The sequence below is a fragment of the Homo sapiens genome, chromosome 1 (genome assembly GCF_000001405.40).
Source record: "Homo sapiens chromosome 1, GRCh38.p14 Primary Assembly".
Lineage (NCBI taxonomy): Eukaryota > Metazoa > Chordata > Mammalia > Primates > Hominidae > Homo > Homo sapiens.
The window spans coordinates 63,711,478-63,735,249 of record NC_000001.11 but is presented as its reverse complement, the minus strand read 5'-3'; the positions used below and the strand labels follow the sequence as shown (position 1 = coordinate 63,735,249).

At 43.3% G+C, this 23,772-nt stretch overlaps 1 long non-coding RNA gene across 2 annotated transcripts in view, besides 3 other annotated features; it reads right to left on the bottom strand.

Annotated features, from left to right (window-relative positions):
* Positions 2,946-3,501: an enhancer, noted in NCBI's record as "H3K27ac hESC enhancer chr1:64197420-64197975 (GRCh37/hg19 assembly coordinates)". NCBI's record gives its function as "activates a minimal SCP1, AML or CMV promoter by ChIP-STARR-seq in primed H9 embryonic stem cells {active_cell/tissue: H9 hESC(primed)}" and the evidence as "EXISTENCE:reporter gene assay evidence [ECO:0000049][PMID:30033119]".
* LOC105378771 (uncharacterized) overlaps positions 7,198-23,772 on the bottom strand; it is a 59,685-nt gene continuing 43,110 nt past the window's right edge. For both annotated transcript variants that reach the window (XR_947457.3, XR_947456.2), the window contains exons 2-3: positions 7,464-7,514; positions 7,198-7,238 (exon numbers count right to left, since the gene is read on the bottom strand). This is a non-coding gene — a long non-coding RNA (uncharacterized LOC105378771). The remainder of the gene's footprint in view (positions 7,239-7,463; positions 7,515-23,772) is intronic.
* Positions 12,825-13,324: an enhancer, noted in NCBI's record as "NANOG-H3K4me1 hESC enhancer chr1:64187597-64188096 (GRCh37/hg19 assembly coordinates)". NCBI's record gives its function as "activates a minimal SCP1, AML or CMV promoter by ChIP-STARR-seq in primed H9 embryonic stem cells {active_cell/tissue: H9 hESC(primed)}" and the evidence as "EXISTENCE:reporter gene assay evidence [ECO:0000049][PMID:30033119]".
* Positions 20,675-21,176: an enhancer, noted in NCBI's record as "NANOG hESC enhancer chr1:64179745-64180246 (GRCh37/hg19 assembly coordinates)". NCBI's record gives its function as "activates a minimal SCP1, AML or CMV promoter by ChIP-STARR-seq in naive H9 embryonic stem cells {active_cell/tissue: H9 hESC(naive)}" and the evidence as "EXISTENCE:reporter gene assay evidence [ECO:0000049][PMID:30033119]".

Genomic DNA, 23,772 nt, shown 5'->3' with positions numbered 1-23,772 from the left:
AGGATGAGGCAGGTGGACAGCCTAGCCCAGGAGTTCGAGACCAGCCTGAGCAACACGATGAAACCCTGTCTCCACAAAAAAAATACAAAATTTAGTAGGGCATGGTGGTGCATGCCTGTAGACCCAGCTAATCAGGAGGCTAAGGTGGAAGGATAGCTTGAACCTGGGAGGTCGGGGTTGCAGTGAGCCATGATTGCACCACTGTACTCCAGCCTGGGTGACAGAGTAAGAACCTGTCTCCAAAAGAAAAAAAAAAAAGGCAAAAGATCTGAATAGACGTTTCTCAAATGAAGACATATAAATGGCAAACAGCTATATGAAAAGGGTCTCAAAATCATTGATCATCAGAGAAATGCAAATCAAAACTACAATGAGATCATCTCACTCCAGTTAAAATGGCTTTTATTTAAAAGACAGGCAATAACAAGTGCTGGCAAGGATGTGGAGAAAAGGGGACACTTGTATCCAGTTTTGGGAATGTAACAACTACCATGGAGAACAGTTTGGAGGTTCCTCAAAAAATTAAAAATAGAGCTACCAAATGACCCAGCAATCCTATTGCTAGGTGTATACCCCCAAAGAAAGAAAATCAGTATATCGAAGTGATATCTGCAGCCTCGTGTTTAATGCAGCATTATTCACAATAGCTAAGATTTGTAAACAACCTAAGTGTCCACTGACAGAAGAATGTGTAAAGAAAATGTGATATGTCTACACAATGGAGTACTATTCAGCCATAAAAAAGAATGAGATCTCGTCATTTGCAACAACATTGCTGAACTGGAGATCATTATTTTAAGTGAAATAAGCCAGGCACAGAAAGACAAACTTTGCATGTTCTCACTTATTTGTAGGAGCTAAAAATTAAAACATTGAACTCATGAAGATAGAGAGTAGAATGATAGGCTGGGAGGGGTAGTGAGGTTGGCAGAGGGTAGGGGGAGAATGGGGATTAATGGGTACAAAAATATAGAATGAATAATATCTGGTATTTGATAGCACAACAGGATGACTATAGTCAAAAATAATTTAATTGTACATTTTGAGATAATGAAAAGAGTTTAACTGGATTGTTTGTAACACAAAGGATAAATGCTTGAGGTAATGGATATCCCATTTACCCTGATGTGATAATTACACATTGTATCCCTGTATCAAAACATTTCACGTAACTCATAAGTATATACACCTACGGTGTACCAATAAAAAATGTTTAAAATAAAATAAAAATAAAGTGAAGCTTAATAAAATGAGGTGTGCCTATACCCATCTCCTGGAATTGCTGTAGGGATTATTTGAAATCAAGCATGTAGTGTACTAAGGACAGCATCTAGCATATTTCTAATTGAGTATTAGTGAGTGTTTTAACTCCATAAAAATAGCCATTGTTATAATTTCAAGCAATCATTGCTCAGAAGAATCATCAAGTTTAATAGAAACTACTTGAAAATTAATGTTCAGAGATATAATAATTCAAAGAGACCTCTAATAATTTTCAGCTCAGTAAATAAAAAAAAAGTGTCTGTATACACACTTTAGTTGTTGGGATACGTATAAACACATCTTCACGTCTCACCCTGAAGAGTCCGAGGAGTTGCCATGTGAGAAACAGCTTCATTGTTATATTGTGGAGTATCTGCCAGGAGGAATTTTGGGTTAAGCCTCATATTTGAAACCACTGTTGGTTTTGTATGTCCCTGACAGCTTAATCCAATGAGCTGTATCTCCCAACTGGCATCATAAGGGCCTCTCTTTGTGCCTAAGTTTCATTGCCTGGAGGATGAACACCCATCGACTTGGGTGTTTCAAAATGCCCGAGTCAGACATCTTCCCCAGGTGCCTTGGAAAAGTGTGTCTCTCTTGGTGAACTGCCCTAAGAAATCTCATTGCATGTCGCTTCTTTGGGCCTCAAGCATCTTTCCCATTCTGACTAACATTTTAGACTCTTTAAAAAAGTTTTCTTCTGAAAAAATCCTTCCCGACATTGAATTAATGCCTTTAAAGGGGTTCCAGTAAGGTATAATTTCTTATGTGCACCCATTGGGGGAAAATGATGATTTCTGGAAATATAATGAACCCAGAAGGTTCCCCATCCATAAAATTAGAGCAAACCTTAAATAAGGTAAATGTCCGAACTCAGGGAAATCTTCAGAATGAAGTGTCACAGTCCCCCTCTGGGTGGAAATAAAAAACCGAGGCTCCCCTCCACCCTGAGCTTCCCATGGTGAAATTGTTGCCATATACCCCATATTTGAAGTGAAACCACCTTCAAATACCCTTCAAACTGGATGAAATTCATCCAGCTGTTTTCACATGTTGTGGTGCCAAGGAAACAGAGGGAAACTGAATCATGGTTATGTAGCTGCTGCTGCTGGTGGATAATGAGCCAGTGGACATGTGAGACTGTCAGCCTGGCTTAAAGGCCCTGAGCAGTGGTAGACAGTACCTGCACCCAGAGAGCCTTCAGCAAATGCTGCTGTTATGTGAAAGACCCAGAGTGCAAATGCACATACACCCCATCATTATCTCCATCAAAAACAAGTGAGGAGACACAGGTAAAGTAAAAAGACTGCTGGAAAATACACCCAATGTCAGTCACAGTTGCAGCTGGGCACAGGGGTTCTTTCCCTTTGTGCTTTTCAATATTTTCTCATTTTTCTTGAATAAACAAGTATTATGTTTATCATGAAAACAGCACAGGGTGTTATTCAATTTTGAAAGATATTTTTAAAAAGCTCTACTTGGTCTACTCTCAGTCTTTACAAATCAAATATTTTCCAGACCTCTGAAATGTTCTGTGAGAAGAGACATGAGGAAGATTTTTGAAAACTGACAGGGAACGATCTTCTGGCAAAAAGGCTAACTCTCTTTCTTTCCTTCTTTTTCTTTTTTCTCTGTCTTTCTCCCTCTCCCTCTTTTCTTTCTTTCTTCTTTCTTTTTTTGGGGGGTAAGGGGTGGGACAAATGGGACTAAATCAATGATTTACAGCTGTGAGAGTTGCCACATTTATTTCTTTAATTACTTTTTCTACCAACATTTTCTATTGCCAAAGCTTCCTGTGCAAAACGAAAACATATAAACATTCAGAAGTTGTTATTATTTTTGTAAGCAAAACAAAAATTAATTTATCCTAAAAGCAACCAGACCGTGTGAGTCAATTTTTTTAAGTTCCTCTTTTACACTAGGATATTTCGTAGCACAAACTGCTAGAATTCTCTTTATAGAATCCAAGCAATGTTAAAGGCATTGACCTCCGTTAAACTCCTGACCAGCCCAACTAGTGAATAAAGTAAACAAAAATCCCACAACTAAAGCTTGATTTTATGCTCCAGCTGTGGGACAGGATGTGGATGTTTTAAAACAAACAAGCCAACAACAAAATGCAACCACCGCCACCAATTCCCAAGCACCAGGGTGTGGTCCCAGTTCCTCAGAGCAGCACGCGTCCTTCTTTCCCAAAGTACTCCTGCAATAAATCCTTGATGAAACATGACTCAGAACTCCTTGACTGGGGGAGCTGAGATGGAATTCCCCTGGCATTAATGAAAAGTTCTGACTCAGGTGGTATGCGTGAACAGACTTAGCACAAGTTGGTACAGCGGTTGACAATCTGCACTGAGGAGAATACTACTGTTCTCCCGTGATAGGCACAGTCCTGACATTTTGTAGAGAAAGGAGGGAAGGGAGTCTTCTCACATATTTCATCTCATTTCATCTGCACAACAACCCTATGAGGTGAGGATTATTGTTCCCATTTTACAGATGAGGAAACTGAGGCCTCAAGACGCAAAGTGAGTTGAATGAGAGTTACCCAAAAAGTTAGTGACAGAGCCAGAAATAAATCCAGATCCCCATAACAATTGCCCAGTAAGAAAGGAATGGAAATTCCCTGGTGTGAAGGATGCATTCCAGGAATCTCTATTAGGAATTCAGGATGCATTCCAGAAATTCTCAGACATGTTATTTTTCTTTTCTTTTCCCTTCCTTTTCTTCCTCCTCCTCCTCCTCCTCTTCTTCTTCTTTCTCTTCTTCTTCCTCTTCTTCTTCTTCTTTTTCTTCTTTTTTCTTTTTTTTTTTTTTACAGTATCTGGCTCTATCACCCAGGCTGGAATGCAGTGGCGCCATCATGGCTCACTGCAGCCTCAACCTCCCAGGTTTAAGCAATCCTCCCCACTCAGCCTCCTGAGTAGCTGGGACTACAGGCATACACCATCACACCTGGCTAATTTGTTTTTGTATTTTTTGTAGAGACTGTGTCTCGCCATGTTGCCTAGGCTGGTCTCGAACTCTTGGAGTCAAACGATCCACCCACCTCGGCCTCCCAAAGTGCTAGGATTACAGAAATGAGCCACCGCACCCAGCCTTGTTCTTTACCCAAAAGTTCAAGCATCTTAACCTGACCCTGTGTCAAAGAGGGTTTCTAAATAGTTTAAGGAAAGGTGGAGGGCCGGGTGCAGTGGCTTATGCCTATAATCCCGGCATTTAGGGAGGCTGAGGTAGGAGAATCCCTTGAGACCAGGCGTTCGAGACCAGACTGGGCAGCATAATGAGGCTCCATCTCTACAAAAAAAATAAATAAATAAATTAGCTGGGCATGGTAGTGCATGCCTGTAGTCCCAGCTACTTGGGAGGCTGAGTGAGGAGAACCGCTTGAGCCCAGGATGTAAAGCCTGCAGTGAGCTGTGATGGTGCCACTGTACTCCAGCCTGGGTGGTAGAGCTAGATCCTGTCTCAAAACAAAAAGGAAAGAAAAGGAGAAAGAAAAGGTGGAGTTATTTTTAAATGGCACTTCTGCTGAGTGTGCCTTATGTAGCCTGTCACCATAGCAACTGTAACTTTCCGGTGGAGTTGGCAACTAGGTCTCAGGAGATGAGGAAGGTGCTTCTATCTTGTCTCTGAATCTTGTCACCCGATAGCACAGGAGCCAGCTCTTCTGGCCTAATCCCCAAACGGCCACAGCTCCCTTAGCAGGCTTCATTTTAGCCTGGGGGGTTATGGGGTTGGAAGATAATGGGTAAATATTTTAGGACCAATTCCTCATAAAAGAACAGGGAGGCCTGGGAGTAGGTTTCCCCCAATCTAATCTGTTCTTGGTTAGACAACAATCTTTAGGACTGTGCTAGTTCACAGTAAAGGGACCAACTGCTTACTGCCGACTTTATCTAGGTTGCAATGCAGTGTTAAAATCAGGAGAAAATGCTTTTTTAAGAATATATATATATCATGAAGAAATTTTTTTCAGAATTAACAGTACATTATAAGGAACCCAGATGATGTGTCTATCCTAAAGCCCCTTAACTACTATAAAACCTTGTCTCTCTAGAATCTCAGCAGGATTTTAGACGAGGCACTAATTAGCTCAGGGAGGAAGAAGGTCAGCATGTGTTCACTTGGAGTAGAGATAGATTTCCTTCTTTTCGAAGAGGAAGAGCAGAGGTGGAAATAGATGACCTAAAATAGATGTAAAAATGTGTCCCCTCAACAGGCCTTGGTTCCCACAGCTGAACTGCTGATGCTGCAAGCAGGGGTGTGCTTCATATGAAAATGACCACTTAATTTTGGCTCTAATTTTCTTTTGGTCATAATTACCTGTTATTATAATAACCTTATTACCACAATACAAAACTCCAGAGGCTAGAGAAAATATAAAAAATCACCACTAATCCTACCACCAGCCTATAACAACGTTTTAGAGGGACTTTTTTCCTTCAAGTCTTTTTCCCTATATGAGCTTTATTCAGCCATTCAATAAATATTTATTGAGCAACAACTACAAGTCAGACACCGTGCTCTTTTCCACTGTGGTAGTCATTGTGGTCGACATAATCTTTTCCCTCATTTTTACCACATAGTATGAACAGATTATATTTCCAGCATTAGAAAAGATAAAGACAACGGAAAAACATTCAAAATTCAACTCCATTATTGAGGCCAGAGGTGATGCCCCAGGAGCCTCTTGGGATATCCTGGAGACAGGAGGTAGTGCAGGGTCTGATGTCTGGCTGTTTCGTGTTCATTTCTGCTGGGGAGAGCAGGCTGCTTTAACTGCTTGAAGAGCAGTGCTGGTCACTCATCTCTGGGCAGGTCCATGGCCCCAGTTACACACAAGCCCTCTCGACAGGAGAAGCATCCTCATCTGATAGGAGCAGGCCTTTCCACACCGCACACCCCACACCCTCTCTTACCTTTGCTGACCTGAGGCTTGGGCAGCCTGGAGGCCTTAGACACTTTGTCACAAGAAAGAGCACAAAACCTCTGGATAGTCCATGGTGCCCTTGAGCCCTTGGAAAAACCAGCTACCAGCCCCCTCTTGCCAGTGTTGCACCTGTGACAGTCAGCCTGAGGCTTCACTGCCTGAGTCCCTGGCCCCCTGGCCACCTGCCCACACAGGGATGTAAATACAAAACCACCACATCTTGGGAATCTGACACCCAGCCTGGGGTTCCCAGTGTCTCCGCCCCACCTCCCAGGAACGCCAGCACTCTCCTCTCCTGCTTGCCTTCATGCCTCACTCTCTGCCGTCCCCTACCGCAGGCCGTAAGCTGCTCTCCTCACAAGTTCACCAGTGCCCCCTATCCAAGCCACTCAAGGGAGCTCGAGCTGATAGAAGATGGAGAAATGGGTCCAGCAGACCCTTGGAGGGCTTCTCATCATGCTAGGGAGCTTGCTGAAGAGGAGGCCCCAAGGAAATGTGGGGTGTTCACTTCTGTGTTCGTCCATTTTGCATTGCTATGAAGTAATTCCTGAGACTGGGTAACATAAAGACAAGAGATTTATTTGGCACAGTTCTGCAGGCTGTACAAGCATGGCACCAGCATCTGCTCAGCTTCTGGTGAGGCCTCAGGAAGCTTTTACTCATGGCAGAAAGCAAGGGGGGAGCAGGCATGGCACATGGCAGGAGAGGAAGCAAGAGAGAGAGTGGGGAGGCCCCAGACTCTTTACTTTTTATACATTTATTTTTTGAGACAAGGTCTTGTTCTGTCACCCAGGCTGGAGTGCAGTAGTACAACCATGGCTCACCGCAGCTTCAACCTCCTGGTCTCAAGTGAGCCTCCTACCTCAGCCTCTCAAGTAGCTGGGACTGCAGGCACACACATCATGCCTGGCAAATTTTTTTTATTCTTTGTAGAGATGGGGTTTCACCATGTTGCTCAGACTGGTCTCAAATTCCTGGGCTCAAGCAATCCTCCGTTCTTGGCCTCTCAAAGTGCTGGGATTATAGGTGTGAGCCACTGCACCTGGTCACAGACTCTTTTTAATAATTAGATCTCACAGTAACTAACAGAGTAAGAACTCACTCCTTACCCAAGGACCTCACCAAGATGTTCATGAGGGACCTGCCCCATGACCCAAACACCTCCAATCAGGCCCCACCTCCAACACTGGGGATCACACTTCAACATGAGATTTACAGGGGACACACATCCAAACCATATCCACCTCCCTCCCCATTCACTACTCACCACAACTCCTGCCACCATCCTTGTTCGTGGAGTGAGCAGCACAGGTGGAGACTGAAAAAAATAATCATATTAATAACAATAATAGTCAAAATTTCCTGATGACAACAATGAACCAGGAACAGTACTAGGTTCTTTATGCATATCAGTTCATTCATTTAATCCTTGGAATACATTGGTTATCATCCCCATTTTATATGTGAGAAAAGTTAGGCTTAGAGGGGTTATATCACTTTCCCAAGGTCACACAGCTACTAAGTGGAAGAAGTGATTTGTACTTAGGAAGTCTCACTCCAGAGCGGGGTTCCCAGTCGCCATCCTATACCATCTCCTGTTCCATTTACTCAGTACCAACTATGTGTCAGGCCTTATGCTAGGTCCTTTATATGGGTGTATTAGTCCATTCTCATGCTGCTATAAGGACATATCCAAGACTGGTAATTGATAAAGGAAAGAGGTTTAATGGACTCACAGTTCCACATGGCTGGGGAGGCCTCACAATCATGGCAGAAGGTGAAGGAGGAGCAAAGGCACATCTTACATGGCATCAGGCAAGAGAGCATGTGTAGGGGACCAGCCCTTCATAAAACTATCAGATCTCCTGAAATTATTCACTATCATGAGAAGAGCATGAGAAAGCCTGCCCCTATGATTAAATTACCTCCCACTGGGTTCCTCCCATGACACATGGGGATTATGGGAGCTATAATTCAAGATGAGACTTCTGTGGGGACACAGCCAAACCATATCAATGGGTTTCCCTAATCTCAAAACAATCCTGCAAAGAAGCAGTATCTCATAGTAGTAAGCAACCTTCAGGATTCAAATGGACTTTACCTAAAATCTTTTAAATTCAATTAAAGCAATCACCTCTAGTTTTGTGCCCTCCCTGAAACTCGTGACTAACATCAATTTTAGAGTGGGAGAGACCCATGTTAAAATCCCAGCCCTAGTTGGCATGGTCATGCAGGCCTGTGGTCCCAGCTACTTGGGAGGCTGAGACAGGAAGATTGTTTCAACCCAGGAGTTCGAGGCTGCAGTGACCTATGATTATGCCACTACACTCCAGCCTGGATGACAAAATGACACCATGTCTCTAAAAAGAAAATAAGAAAAAAAAAAATCCCAGCTTTTACACATAGCAGCTTTGTGATCTTAAGCCTCCATTTCTTCATATATAAAATGGAGGTGATAACATCTCCCTAACAGAATTGCTGTGGGGTGGGATGAGTTAAGTAAGATAATGCAGGGAAAACACAAAATACTGGTATCAGTGCCCAAAATAATAGTAATAGTATTAGTAATAAACAATAAGTATGAGAACCATGACACATACACTCAGGGTTTCTTAGCTCCAAATTCCAGAATCTTTTCCACTTTGCCAAGAACATTGCAATTCTGGTCTGCGACAAATGTCCCAGTGATATAATCAAGGTTCTTACTTGAGTGACAGAAAATCCCATTTTTTTTTGAAACACTTGTTTGCTTTTATAGGGCAGGCCTGTAGTGCTGAGAAATATGACCTTTACTAACTTTTTTAAAGGATACACTTCTCTGCAGTCCCCTCATCACAACTTTGCTGCAAAAGTTCAGTAAGTTGGGCTCATGGGATGTTAGAAACAAATTTAGCAATATTTAATCCAATACCCTTCATTCTACAAGGGAAACAACACGATATGATTTTGCCCTTCGACAACTTGTTTTGAGCACTTTGAATCATATTGCCTAATCAAAAGGTGAGGATAATATGCCTACTCAACTTACCCGAATGATATACTTCCTATGCCAAAAGAAAAAGTATTCAATAATACTTGCTAAAGCACAGTAAGGAAGACTTTATTCATGATCATTGCAATAGGTATAGGGAGCACTGCAATGGGATTTTGCAGAGTGAGAGAGAGATTGGGTTTAACCCTGAATATAACATGGGTAAGTAGGAATTTATAGCCAAGGAGCATGGTGGGAGTGGGTGGATGGAAAATTACTAAGAAATTAGTAAGGAGAATTCTGGCTAAACTGACTGTTATGGTTTAGATCTATGTCCCCACCAAATTATCATGTCGAATTGTAATCCCCAGTATTGGAGGTGGGGCCTGGGGGGAGATGATTGGCTCATGGGGTGGTCCTTCATGAATAGTTTAGCACCATCCCGTTGGTGCTGTTCTTGGGATAGTGAGTGAGTGATCGCAAGACCCGGTTGTTTAAAAATGTGTGGCACCTCTTCCCCTTGCTCCTTTTCCTTCTGCTCTAGCCATGTGATATGCTGGCTCCCTCTTTACCTTCTGCCATGATTGTAAGTTTCCTGAGGCCTTCTCAGAAACCAAGCAGATGCCAGTATCATGCTCCCTGTGCAGCCTGCGGAACTGTGTGCCAATTAAACCTCTTTTCTTTATAAATACCCCCGTCTCGGGTACTTCTGTATAGCAGTGCAAGAACTGACTAATACACAGACCTAACAGGATTCTTGCTGAAGGCAGGCCAGGGTGGTCTGAAGTCACCTGGGGGATGGTGGAGGGTGGAGGATGAGAAACCTGATCATATACAGAGGGTGGGGCATTCTTGCTAAAATGACTTAGCAGGGTTCTTGTTAAAACTGGATTTTTTAAGGAAGTGTACAGATGGGCCTAGGAGAAGGTTCAGGAGCATGATTAAAGTCTCATTAAGCCAATAATTTTTGTCACCTAACACTTCTCCTTTCTCTCTTCCTTAATTTCCCATAAAACAAAAAAGGCCATTTTTTTTTTTGAGACATAGTCTCACTCTGCTACCCAGGCTGGAGTGCAGTGGTGCAATCTTGGCTCATTGCAACCTCTGCCTTCCTGGGTTCAAGTGATTCTTCTACCTCAGCTTCCTGAGTAGCTGGGATTACAGGTGCACACCCCCACACCCAGCTAATTAATAAAAAAGGCCATTTCTGCTGTGGTGGTACCTCAGGAGGAAAGCAAACTGGTTGACTGCACACAAATCCCAGGGATATTTGCATTGAAAAGGAAGTGTAAAATTTTCAAAAGTTTCGGCATGCTGGGAGCATTTTGAATCATGGGCGGTGGCAATGGCAAGAATAACTCTTCGCATTGCATCTGACCCTACTTAGGAATAAGGTTCTCCTGGCAAGCTCCTAATTGTAGTACAAAAAGTACACAGCCTTGACTCAGCAAATCTGCCTGAAAGTTAATCTTGTCAACCACTATCTCTTTGACTCTGGAGTTGATTGATTCCTCTGAGCCTTAGTTTTCCTATCTGTAAAACAGGGGAAAATAATACCCAACTGTTAGTGCTGTTGTGAGGACCAAAGTAAATAACAGACATGAAAGCATTTTGAAAACCCTGGATAGCTACAGAGATGCAAGATGTTGTTGTGGGTAGTAATAATTAAAATCTAAATTGTCATTGTTAACCATAAGACTAACAGCAACCTCACTTCACATTTAATTCTTGGTAAAAAGCGTTTTCCAGAATGGCATCCAGCTTGGTCTGTGGTCGTATAGTTTACTGGTAAATACTTGGGTACGGGTGGCAAGCGAAGTTCCCAGATGTGTCTAAGCCAACAGTCACACTAGAGACACATCATTTCAGGGTATGATTCCTTCTCTCTGAAAAACAGGAGAAAGGGTTTTAGGAAATGGCACACACTTGGCATGTTTAAGGGCAGCAAGGAAGCCAGTATGGTGAGCTGAGTGAGCGAGGGAAAAGGTGGTAGGAAATGAGATGAGAGATGCAGGAAGAGCCAAGCGCCTGTCAGGTCATCGAGAGGAATTTGGATTTTCCTCCAAGAGGGAAGAAACTGACTGGCTTTGAGCAGAGAATGAGATAATCTAACTCGAGTTTTTACCAGATCATTTTGGGGCAAGAGTAGAAGCAAGGCGCCAGGGAGAAGACTGTTGCCATAATCCTGACAAGAGGCATGGTGGCTTGCACCAGGGTGTTAGCAGTGTAGACAATGAGATGTGACTAAGCTCTGAATATGTGCAAGGGTGTGTAGGAGAGAACGGTGTCAAAGGTCATCTAGGAACTGTGGCTTGAGCAACTGGAGAGAAAATAGTGGAGCAGGGCTTAGGGAGACCAGGAGTTCTGCTTGCAGTTTTGTTTTGCTTTTAAAATATCTGAAAGAATTATACTTTTGAGTTTCATTAATACATTTTTCTATATGTGATTTTTTTAAAAGGCACACCTAAAGCACATTATACTTTTCAAAGCAGTTTCTCATCCATTATCTCATTTGATCCTTCAAGTAACCTTGTGAGGTTGCTGCTACTAGCCCCACTGTATCTGTTAGAGTTTGAGCAGAGACGTAGATTCACTAAGACTGACATAGAATAAGGAATGTATTCTAGAAATTAGACCTTACACAATTGCATTGGCTGCTGAAGTGTCTGTGTTGTGTGTTGTGCCTAAAGTTCATACAGGTCAGCCAGGCTGGAAGTCAGGAAGGACAGCTGGACATGACGTGATGGAGACCAAGAATGAACTGGAACTTAGTGGAAAATGAGGAACCCATGAAGGTAAACTGGAAGCTGCATCTGTCTACCATGTCCTCCACCCTCAGTGTTGTGTAGGACCTGCAGAAGAAGCTGTGCTCTTTGCACGTGTGATGGTTAATACTGAGTGTCAACTTGATTGGACTGAAGGATGCAAAGTATTGATCCTTGGTGTGTCTGTGAGGGTGTTGCCAAAGGAGATTAACATTTGAGTCAGTGGGCTAGGAAAGGCAGACCCACCGTTAATCTGGATGGGAACCATCTAATCGACTGCCAGCACGGCTAGAATATAAGGCAGGCGGAAAAATGTGAAGATGAGACTGGCCTAGCCTCCCAGCCTACATCTTTCTCCCATGCTGGATGCTTCCTGCCCTCGAACATCAGACTCCAAGTTCTTCAGTTTTAGGACTCAGACTGGCTCTCCTTGCTCCTCAGATTGCAGACGGCCTATTGTGCGACCTTATGATCATGTGAATTAACACTTAGTAAACTCCTATATATATATATATATATATATATATATCCCCTTAGTTCTGTCCCTCTAGAGAACCCTGACTAATGCAGCATGCAACTGCACACAGCCTGGCATGGGACTTGAAAAAGCTAAAGGATCTTGCAGGAGCTGAAGGAGCTGTAGGACCTGGGCAGCCACACATCAAGCTGAGCAAGCAGATTAGCAACAGGGTGTATGCTGCCACAGCATAAAAATGGCTACTGCTTCACTTCCGTCTTCCAGATCTAGCACAGATTTGTGTTGTGGCCAACTCTAAAATCAGATCTGCACAGGAAAAGGAATTCTGGGAAACATGATTCCAGCTTAGCTAAACTGACATGGTATAAAGATGAAGACAATGAAGACCCAGAGATGTTAAGTGACTTGCCCAGTGCTTTGCAGAACATTTGTAGCTGATTTATTAGGACCCGGTTTCGCTGACTCGTGGCCTACTGGCTTTAGTTGAACACTTGCTACATGCCAGCTACTGAATCATCTGATCCACAACACCACTATAGAGTAGGTATTATTATGCCCAGTTTCTGGATTAAGAAATTGAGGCTCAGAAGGGTGAAGTCAATGAGCCAACATAACTCAACTACGGAAAGGTGAAACAGATTCAAATGCAGATTTGTCAGATCCCAAGCCCCACCCTCTTAACCTCCAGGTGGGTGGTCTTTCCCTCCACTAACCCCATGTCCCACAGTTTCCCAGAGTAGGGTATCAGAAGATGGTTCACACTAAAAGAGACCCTGGCATCGCAGTTTCCCCTCTGTAGTCTGTGGTGCTGGCCTGGGGCCAATTCCCTCTCACTCCAGGGATAGTACAAACATGCAGATATGCTTCAGTGAGTGCGATTAGGAGTTGCACTGAAGGGAACATGTATTCTAAGCACTGTAGGGTAGAATACACCAGAGCACAGGCCCAGACATGGAAGAAGCCCACCAGCTCTCAGCCACAGCAAAGAGAAGCATAAAAGTCAAGCAAGTGCCCCCACTGGTGCTGAGAAATTTCCCACAATTGCAAAGAGACCAGAAAATAGGGCTGCAGCAGCAGCATGACTCAGTGGGGATCAGGGAAGGCCTATTGCTTTAGTAATAAAATCTAAGGGTTGTGACTTCAGAGTTATCAAACAATGCTACATTCATTGAATTCTCCTAATAGTAATCATAGTTCTGATAAGAGCAATTAAGAGACATCTGCACCCCCATGTTTATTGCAGTACTATTCACAATAGCCAAGATATGGAATCAACCTAGATGCCCAATAAGAGACGAATGAATAAAGAAAATGTGGTACATATACACAATGGAATACCATTCAGCCATAAAAAAGAATGAAATCCTGCGTTCCAGGCAACATGGATGAAACTAGAGGACATTATGTTATGTGAAATAAGCCAGGAGAAAACACGACATGTTCTTATTCATATGTGGAAACTGAAAAAAAAAAGTTGATCGCATAGAAGTAAAAAGTTGAACAGAAGATACTAAGGCTGAGAAGGGTAGAGGAGAGGGAGGGAGGGGATTTATTTTTATTTTTGCTTTTGTTTAGAGACAGGGTCTCGCTCTGTCTTCCAGGCTGGAGTGCAGTGGCACAGTCATGGCTCACTGCAGCCTTGACCCTGCAGGCTCCAGCAGTCCTCCCACCTCAGCTTCCCAAGTAGCTGGGACTACAGGCATGTGCTACCACACTCCACTAATTTAAAAAAATTTATTTGCAGATACAGGATCTTCTTATGTTGTCCAGGCTGGTCTTGAACTTCTGGGCTCAAGCAATCCTCCCACTTCGGCCTCCCAAAGTGCTGGGATTACAGGCATGAGCCACCACACCCAGCCAAGATTTTTTAAAGGATACAAAATTATAGCTAGATAGGAGGAATAAATTCTAGTGTTCTACAGCACTGTAGGAAGACTATAGGTAACAAAAATATATTTAGTTTCAAATAGCTAGAAGGAGGATATCGAATATTTGAAACATTGAGATGATAAATGTTTGAGATGATGTCTATGCTAATTACTCCGATCTAATCACAACACATCATATGTATCAAAATATCACTATGTACCTCATGAATATGTACAATAATTACTTGTCAATTAAAAAGTAAAATAAATGATTTAAAAATAATAGTAGCTATTAATTACTTATTATAGTTGATTGTTTATTATTGATTGCCAGGCACTATTCTAGGCATTTCACATAAATTAACTCACAAGCATATATAGTAGGAAGTATTATTGTCCCATTTTACATACAGGGAAATTGAGGCAAAGAAAGGTTAGGTAACTTGCCACAATCACATGAACCAGGAGTCTGCCTCCAGAGCCTAACCTCTCAACCTTAATATGCATCTGCTTCTCAGCAACCCTGTACGAGAAGGGGAAAGGAAGAGAGGGTGGCAGGATGGTGGTGCTCATTTTGCAGATGAAGAAACTGAGTCTTGGGATGGCTGAAGAAGTTTCCTAAAGCCTCCCTGCCAAGCCTAGAGTTGAAGCCAGCGCTGTGGAACTGCAAAGCCCCTGGTCTTTTCACTTGACCACTCAGCCCTGTTAAGTTAGTGGCCCATTCAGGACTTGAGTTTGAATATCAAACTCAAGCCTAACTGCAGTTGCCTATGGTTTGCTAGAAGGACTTATTGCTTTGACTACCCAAGTGGGCAATTTGACTACTGAGGTCAGCTCAGAGGCCAGAAGCCATCTGCCTGGTGAACAGAAGGGTCCTCTCACATTTTCAGTCAGGAAAGGACCAGGACTGACCTTCCCACCTTGGAAACATTGCCTTTCACCCTGGAACCAGAAGAACAAACATAGTCTGATTCTTGGAGATGAGGCAGCTCCAGCTCTAGGGTACAGCCATAACTGTGGTTGCCTCAGTATTCAGCCCCTTGGAGGCAATGGTGTAAACGCTCATCCATGATTCAACAAAATGCATTCACCAGTTTACTAGGCATCTGCTCTGTGTGCCTGAAGGGGGACCTATAAAAGGGAGCTCACACATAGTTCCTGCCTTCAGTGACTTTATTGAGTAGCTGAGAAAACTCCAGTTCCCCTCCCATCACCTCCCCATGCCCCCATATACCTAAATAATGCCAATACACACAGCCACAGGGACCAGTAGAAGGTGGTAGGAAAATGACTGATAAAAGTTCCTTTCATCATTCAATTCATAACTAAATATATGTTGAGTTTCTCTTATTTGTCAGGCACTATACTACGTACTTTGGATGTGAATCATATTTAATCTTCCTAACGCCCCTGTATAGTAGCTATTAATACCTTTATTTTGCAGATAAGGAAACAGACACATGAGGGAAAATGACTTGCTCAAGATCATCCTGTGAGGAAGTGTGAATAATTCCAGAACCCGGGTCTTCTGATTCTAGCTCAGTGTTCTTTTAATCACATTATACTAGAAAGAGAATTAGAAGATCCTTGAGTAAGATACATGACCAGAGATACAAAAAGGAGGCAGACAAGCAAATCAGTGGGGAAGTAATCAAAGTTTTTTACCTACCAATGGGGGGCAGATGTGATCAAGACAGATAGCTGTCCAACAGAGGTTCATGTTCCCCTTTCATAGTGGAGAGATGTCACCAGAAAGGGACTGCCAGGCCAGGGTCTCTCTTTCCCCTTGCATCTTGGTGTGCCCATGTAACTTGTTCTCACCAGTGGAAGGTGAGCAGAAGTGATGCCTGTTGCTTCTGGGCTGGAGTGTTTCAGAAGTGAGGCACCTTCTTTAACCACTTTCCCCAGCAACTGGGAAAAACAAGGGCTCCTTCAGTCGCTGGGTCCCTGCATCTCTGCTTGGAGAAGAGCAGCTTGGCAATTGGAAACATGCATTTGGGCTCAATGTAAGCAAGAAATAAACTTCTACTCTGTTGATTCATTCTACATTTAGAAGGTATATTGCGACATCTAGCATTATCTTAACTAAATATGGCAGATAAGGCCAAAGTGCCAAAGTTCTAGGTTGTTGTGGAATAATTCATTCCACCTCAAAGATGGTCAGTTAAACCAGTAAGGTACACTACACATAGGCTACCCACCCTTTCTGAGAACAGGCTCTTGGTCGGATTGTGAACACCCCAGGGCTGAGCCTGTCTCATGGCTTTCCGCACCCCACTGTCTAGCACAGTGCCTGGCTTGCATTAGACTCTCAGTACCTGCTTGAATGCGATAACCCCCCAGCTTCTCTCTGCCACCAGAACACATGAGCAGCTGCAAGACTGAAACTTAGTGGCAAATACCCTGAAACCAGAAACACAGTGAGCATTTCTAGAATGTTTAGGAGGGAATCTGAACTAAGCCTTGAGCCTTGCCCAGATCGGAATCAGACAAACACTGTAGCACATGGCAATAGAGAAATATTTTGGAGTTAAGAGACATTACATTGATAATAAAACAAAAGAAGGAATCTCTCCATAAAATATCCTTGTGACAGCCCCCGCAGAGAAGGTTTGCTATGTGATGAATTGAAGTGTTTTGATCCCTCTCCTAATCCATGACCATCTCTTGTATTCCAAAGGGGTTTTTCTGGTTAGGAAGTTTTATCGGGAGGTCCTTGAAATATTCTGAGGGAGAGTTTATGGTAAATGTTTTAACAGGGTACAGTAGCCAAAATATGATACTTGATGTAGACAGAAACCCAGATGGTGGCTGAGATGTCAGGAAATGCGATTTTCTATTTTATCTGGGGAAAAGCTTTTCCCTGAATTCCAGAACCTACAGTGACCTGGCCTCACAGATAGTCTGATTTGAAGCCTCTACACAAAAGCATCTTCCTCTGCTTGTTAGGGAGAGGATCTGGACTACTACTTCTGGGATCATTTGGCAACTGGATTAGCTCCCTCTAAGTTGCAGCCGAATTCAAATGCTTTAGCTAAGAAAGAAAGTCATTCATCTGAAGGCCTGTGGGCTGATAAGCACTAATAAAATGATGAGAGATGGTACCAGACGACAAGAGCTCTGCAAATACTATTCCTTTATCACTAGTACTTTGAAGATGCTTATCTTCACAAAAACTCTGAAAAGTAGGTATCATTATCTACTTTGTAAAGTGATGACTTTACAAACTTGCTAACTAAGGCATGCCAGCTATCCAGCTGGGAAATGGCAGAGTCTGGCTTCAAGTCCAGGTCTAGATGACACCGAAACCCACTATGCACTACAGTTGCTGTTTAGGTAATCCCCCTCCTGAGTCCAAATCCAACATACTTCCCACCACATCACCCCCGGCTGGGGGAAAGGGAAAGACATTTTGCCTTAAATCACACACAGTCCCTCTACATGAGGATTTTGCTTTGCTGAAGAGGTAGGGCTAAAATAATCTACAATTTTAAGGATCAGGAGATGCCATATGTCCAATCTCTCGGAAGATGGCTTGTCCATTGCTTTGGAGCTTAGTTAATTCAGCTGCCACCACCACCAAAAGCAATAATATAGATTTCTTCTATGTTACCTCTGTCCTTACAGGTGCAGCCCTAACTTCTGTAACCTTCTTTTATGATGAGGTACCTGAAATACAACACTCTCAGCAGTTTAAAGCACAAAACTGATTTTAACACATTATGACACATCTGGGGATTCCAACCCCTTGGAAACAGGTCAAATGCAGGCACTGAACCTTGCTGTAGAATTCAGCTAGCACAGCTGGACACATAAAGCTGCCATTACATTCCAACCTGTTATATTGCTAATCCCAACTAGACTAGTTACCCAAACCTCAGAGCTTGGGAGCGCCAAGCTCATTCTGGCTGGAAACCAAGTACAGTTTCCCATTCAGACCAAAGTTGTTCACTCCAGAACCCCTTGACAAGCCTGTGTCACCTGCTCCCCTTCCTGGGTCCCTCCAAATTCCCTTCTCTCTGGGCCAGCCATGCTTGTTTCACTCAATCCCCTTGTTGAGAGCTTTTTTCTCTTTTTTCCATCTTTGCCCTATAATACAATATTTTTAATGTTTACATCCCCTGGGCATCTAAAACTGCCTACTTATTACAAAAATATGACAAAAAGCATGACTCACAATCTTATTGCTTGTCCCCATCCTTCTTCATTTGCAGACCCAAGAGCTATAGTCAGTATACTCACACCAGAGATACAATTTTGGCGGTTTCTATATTCCTTTCTGGTTGGGATGGCAAATGAGTTTCATCTCTTGCCCCAACTCTGGCCAATCTACCTGAGGTACTGACTTGAGAAAGAGCCTAGGCTCAGCAGGTAAGTGTGCTGAAATCAATTAGTGATTTCTGCACAGGCACATATGGTGGGGAGAAGGTGGCATGGAAGCATACAGACACACCTGCTTTACTGTACTGTTAATGTTCAGGGCATTAATAGATCATCTGAAAACATGGTCTCCAAAAATTCCTCCCAGCCAGGACAGGCTTGCAGGTTCAGTCTGTTTCCCCTCCTCTTGAATCTCACTGCAACCTCAAACTCCTGGGCTCAAGGGATCCTCCTGCCTCAGCCTCCCAAGTAGCTAGGACTACAGATGCACACCACTATGCTCAGTTTTTGTGTTTTGTTTTGTTTTGTTTTGTTTTTTGTAGAGACAGGGTCTTGTCAGCTTGCCCAGGCTGGTCTCAGATTCCTGGGCTCAAGCAATCCTCCCACCTCAGCCTCCCAAAGTGCTAGGATTACAGGCATGAGCCACTGCTGCCAGCCTTGGGCTGCCTTTTTGATTAGCTTTGACCAATCAAATGCAGTGGAAATAATCCTGTGACTTCCAGTTCTTTTTTTTTTTTTTTTTTTTTAATGGAGTTTCACTCTTGTTGCCCAGGCTGGAGTGCAATGGCACGATCTCAGTTCACCACAACCTCCGCCTCCGGGTTCAAGCGATTCTCCTGTCTCAGCCTCCTGAGTAGCTGGGATTGCAGGTATGTGCCACCATGCCCGGCTAATTTTGTATTTTTAGTAGAGATGGGGTTTCTCCATGTTGGTCAGGCTGGCCTTGAACTCCCGACCTCAGGTGATCCATCCGCCTCAGCATCCCTAAGTGCTGGGATTACAGGTGTGAGCCACCACGCCCGGCCAACTTCCAGTTCTTAAGAGACCTTGCAGCCTTTGTTCATTCTCTTGGGATTCATCTACCATGTAAAGAAGTTCAAGTTAGACTACAAAAGAGACCTCACATAGGGAGAGAGAGAGGCCCAGTCATCCCCAGATGTTCCAGCCACCCCCAGTGAGGCACCAGACATGGGAATAAAGCCATCTTGGATATTCAGCCCTTCCAGATTCCTAGCTGAATGTATTCACACAAGTGACCTGGTTAATACCAGATGTGCCAGGAGAATGGTCTTGCAGAGCCCAGCCAATCCACAGAATCATGAGAAATAAAAAAATATGGTTTAAGCCATAGTTTGGGGGTATTGTGTTATAAAGAAATAAATAATGCATACAACATTTCTATCTTAATCGCTGACTTTCTTAATTTCTACTTTAGACTATTAAGTCACCTCTTGTATAACATCTTCATTGACCCTCTCCAACCAAACGGAAACTTCACTTTCTTTTGTGTCCTATCTGACTCCTTACTTCTTAGTATATATATTTGCTTGCACATCTATGTCCCCTACTGAACTGTGGACTTCTGGAGGCTGCCATCTGGGTTTTATTCACATTTATATCACCAACTCTATTAGAGAATGTCTGGCACAGTGGTAAGAGCTCAATAAATGTTTGATGAATTAATGAACTAAATGATTGAACTAATCATTGCACTGAGTCTTCCCTTTGACTGTAACAAAGTCTCCTCTCCTCCACCTCATGTACTGGCATGTCATCTCTTACTTCATCAAGTCTCTTCTCAGAAAGGACTTCCTCTACTACCACATCCAAAATAGTAACTTCCTCTCTCCTTTTCTATCCTTTTACCCTATTTTATTATTTTCCTTCATAGCACATATAACCATCTGAGAGTTTATATACCTATTTATTGTTTGTCACTCCCCAACAGAATATAAGCTCATGATGTCAGGGACCTTTTTTATTCACCACTATGCCCCAGTACTTAGAGCAATGCTTGGTACCTTATAGGTTTTCAACAAATATTCATTGGATAAATAAGTAAATGTATGTTTCATAAAAGGAACAACAAATGTGGGTGATTTTTCCACTTTTGCTTTTGGTTGTTTTGCATTTTAGCTTGAGCCCTTACACTGGGCATGATTAGGACACCTTAAGATCCAGTTCAGCTCTCCATCCTGGGCACACTGAAAACTACTCTTCCCAGCTATCTTGCAGTTAGATGTGGCCACGTGACTACGTCTGGCCAAGGGGCTCTGCAGGGAAGTGACAGGTAGCACTTCTGGGCTGAAGCACAGCCTGGAGGGTGCAGCTCTCCAGGGGCTCTCGCTTTGCCTTGTGCTGAGATGATGGAGCCACCGGATCAAAGGCGCCTGGGGTTTCTGAGCCACTGTATGGAGAACAGCTGCCCTGGAGAGTCGCCCATAACCACAGGGGACTTTGCATGAGTCAGAAATAAACTTTTGTTAAGTTAAGCCACTGAGATTTCAGAGTGGGCTGTTACTGAAACACAGCCTAGCCCAATCTGATCACAAAAAGCCTATTTGGTTTAAATTCCTTTACATTTAAGAAACAAAAGAGGCAAATGCAGAGGAAAGAGAGAAAGAATGAGGGGTTTTCATCATCTAAATACTAATTTACAATTTCAAAGTACAAAAATATCCACTCTGAGCCTGACATGGTGCCAGGTACCAGCCACACCCTGAGGACACAGAGATGAATCTTAGTCTCTCCTCACAGTTTACACACCAGTGAGAAAGACCGCATGCCATTAAAATATGGTGGGATAGTGCATGGTTGTAGTTATACTATCTGTGTGTTCAGGGCACATGGAGGGTGGGACCCTTCATTCTGACCAGATGCTATTTCCATATTAAGGTCACTCTGGGCACTAATAGCCAGGTATGTTGGACACATTTTCTCTAATATTTATAACAACTCTGCATCATGGGAAGGATTAGCCCATTCTACAGATAAGGAACCTCAAGGTCAGAGAGGTTAAGCACCTGGCTCAAAGTCACAGTGCAAGTAAGCACTGTATTTGCTGGTAGCTCCTAGAGGTCTGTACAGCACAAGCTCCCTCTTCTAATTCCTGCCCAGTGACCCAGTTCTGACTTTAATATCTTGAATTATTCTGCCCGCTCCTCACCCCTGGGGTTATTGTTTCCTTTCTGTGTATTTGCAATGGCAAAGTCAAAATCCCAACTATCTGCCATAAAATATGAAGAAAAGTATTACTTTTAACTAGAAGGCTGTGGTCACGGCAGCCGGAACCTAGCAGGGCGGGTGGGTCAGCTGACAGTAAGGGTCTTACAAACCCATGCCGCTTGTCTCTCCCCACCAACCTCATCTTGCCACTTCTGCAAAGTCATTGAGGGAACAACTGCTGACTCTGAAGAACAGCCAAGAAGCACAACTCTGAAGCTGGTGCACTCATGCCGAGCTGTCCTCTGGGCCTACTGCCTTCGAGCCTGGAGTCCTCCCATTGCTGTGTCTTGGTTGGTTTTATAGTTTCTTTAAGACTAAAAATACCTTGAAGTGGCCCCTTGCCCTTTATTCATTGGTCAGTCCAAACCTGTGGTCCAATTGCTTCTCTAATGAGAGGTAATGAAGGAGGAAGTGGGGAAGTCAGCCATCTGGACTGCAGGCAGGTGCAGGTGGCCCTAGGAGAAGCCAGAAGGGCTCCTGCCATTGCAACTTTGCTTGGTGAATGTACTAGGGAAGGACAAGGAACAGAAACGCAGGCATCAGCTAAAGAACAGAAGATCTTTAGAAACAAAGTATTTCTAATCCTTATCTTTCGTTGAGACATCATTAGCCCAAGAACCAGGACATTTTGTCAGTGGCAAAATTCAACGATATCAAGGTAAAGGGCAAGGTAGACATGTTGTTCTAACAGTTTCTAAGGGCAAATGCCAGGGGTGTGTGGGTGTGTTTAAAATAGATCTTGGCCAGACACGGTGGCTCACGCCTGTAATCCCAGCACTTTGGGAGACTGAGGCGGGTGGATCAACTGAGGTCAGGAGTTCGAGACCAGCCTGACTAACACAGAGAAACCCCATCTTTACTAAAAATACAAAATTAGCCAGGCGTGGTGGTGCATGCCTGTAATCCCAGTTACTGGGGAGTCTGAGGCAGGAGAATCACTTGAACCCAGGAGGCAGAGGTTGCGGTGAGCCAAGATCGTGCCATTGTACTTCAGCCTGGGCAACAAGAGTGAAACTCCATCTCTAAATAAATAAATAAATAAATAAATAAATAAATAAAAATTTTAAAAAATAAAATAAAATAGATCTTACCCACAATTACAATTGGGCCAAGACTTGAACCTAAATCACTCTTACTCCAAAATTCACACAAAACCCAAGCATCTTCCATTTTACCCAGTGTGCCTATATCAAGTCATATGTTGAAAATTGGAAAACATTCATTCTTCTCATTTGTGTCACAAGCTCCTGGGTTTTCACATGGACCTTTTGAGGACAATATTTTAACCAGTGATTTTCAATCTTTCTTTCTGGCTCCAAACAAACCAAAAATAAATATCCATATTTCTACCACAAGCAGTAGCTCACTGTGTCACAGACATAAAGTTTGAATGCAGAGCAGGGGTTCAGGGAAGAAAGCATGTGCGCACTGAACAAGCCTCTCAGGGTATTTGGGTATATAATGGAGACAGATAGGTAATGTGGGTGTCTACCTGGCACAGACCCTTGGATCGAGCTATGGTCGGGCCTGGTCTTCATGAGACAGATCTGTTTCATTCCTCTTTTTAAAAAAATTTTAAACATTTACCATTATTAAGACAATTAAAAATAAACTCTAGTCAGGGTGAAGTGGTTCACACCTGTAATCCCAGCACTTTGGGAGGCCAAGGTGGGCAGATCACGAGGTCAAGAGCTCGAGACCATCCTGGCCAACATGGTGAAACCCCATCTCTACTAAAAATACAAAAATTAGCTGGGCGTGGTGGCGGCTGCCTGTAGTCCCAGCTACTCGGGAGGCTGAGGCAGGAGAGTCTCTTGAACTCGGGAGGCGGAGGTTGCAGTGAGCCAAGATCGCGCCATTGCACTCCAGCCTGGCGACAGAGCAAGACTCCGTCTCAAAAAAAATCAAAAAACAGAACTCTAATCTGCTTGGATCACTCTCTGTTCCCTTTCCATTTCGCTGGAAAATTAGACACAGCTGGAAGCTACATGTATAGGAGGACATGGACGTTGGCATCAGAGAGATCCAGTCTTGAATTCCAATTTCTCTCCAGGCAGGGCAATAAACGCCTCGAGCCTCAGTTTCATCATCCTTAGAACCAGGTTTGG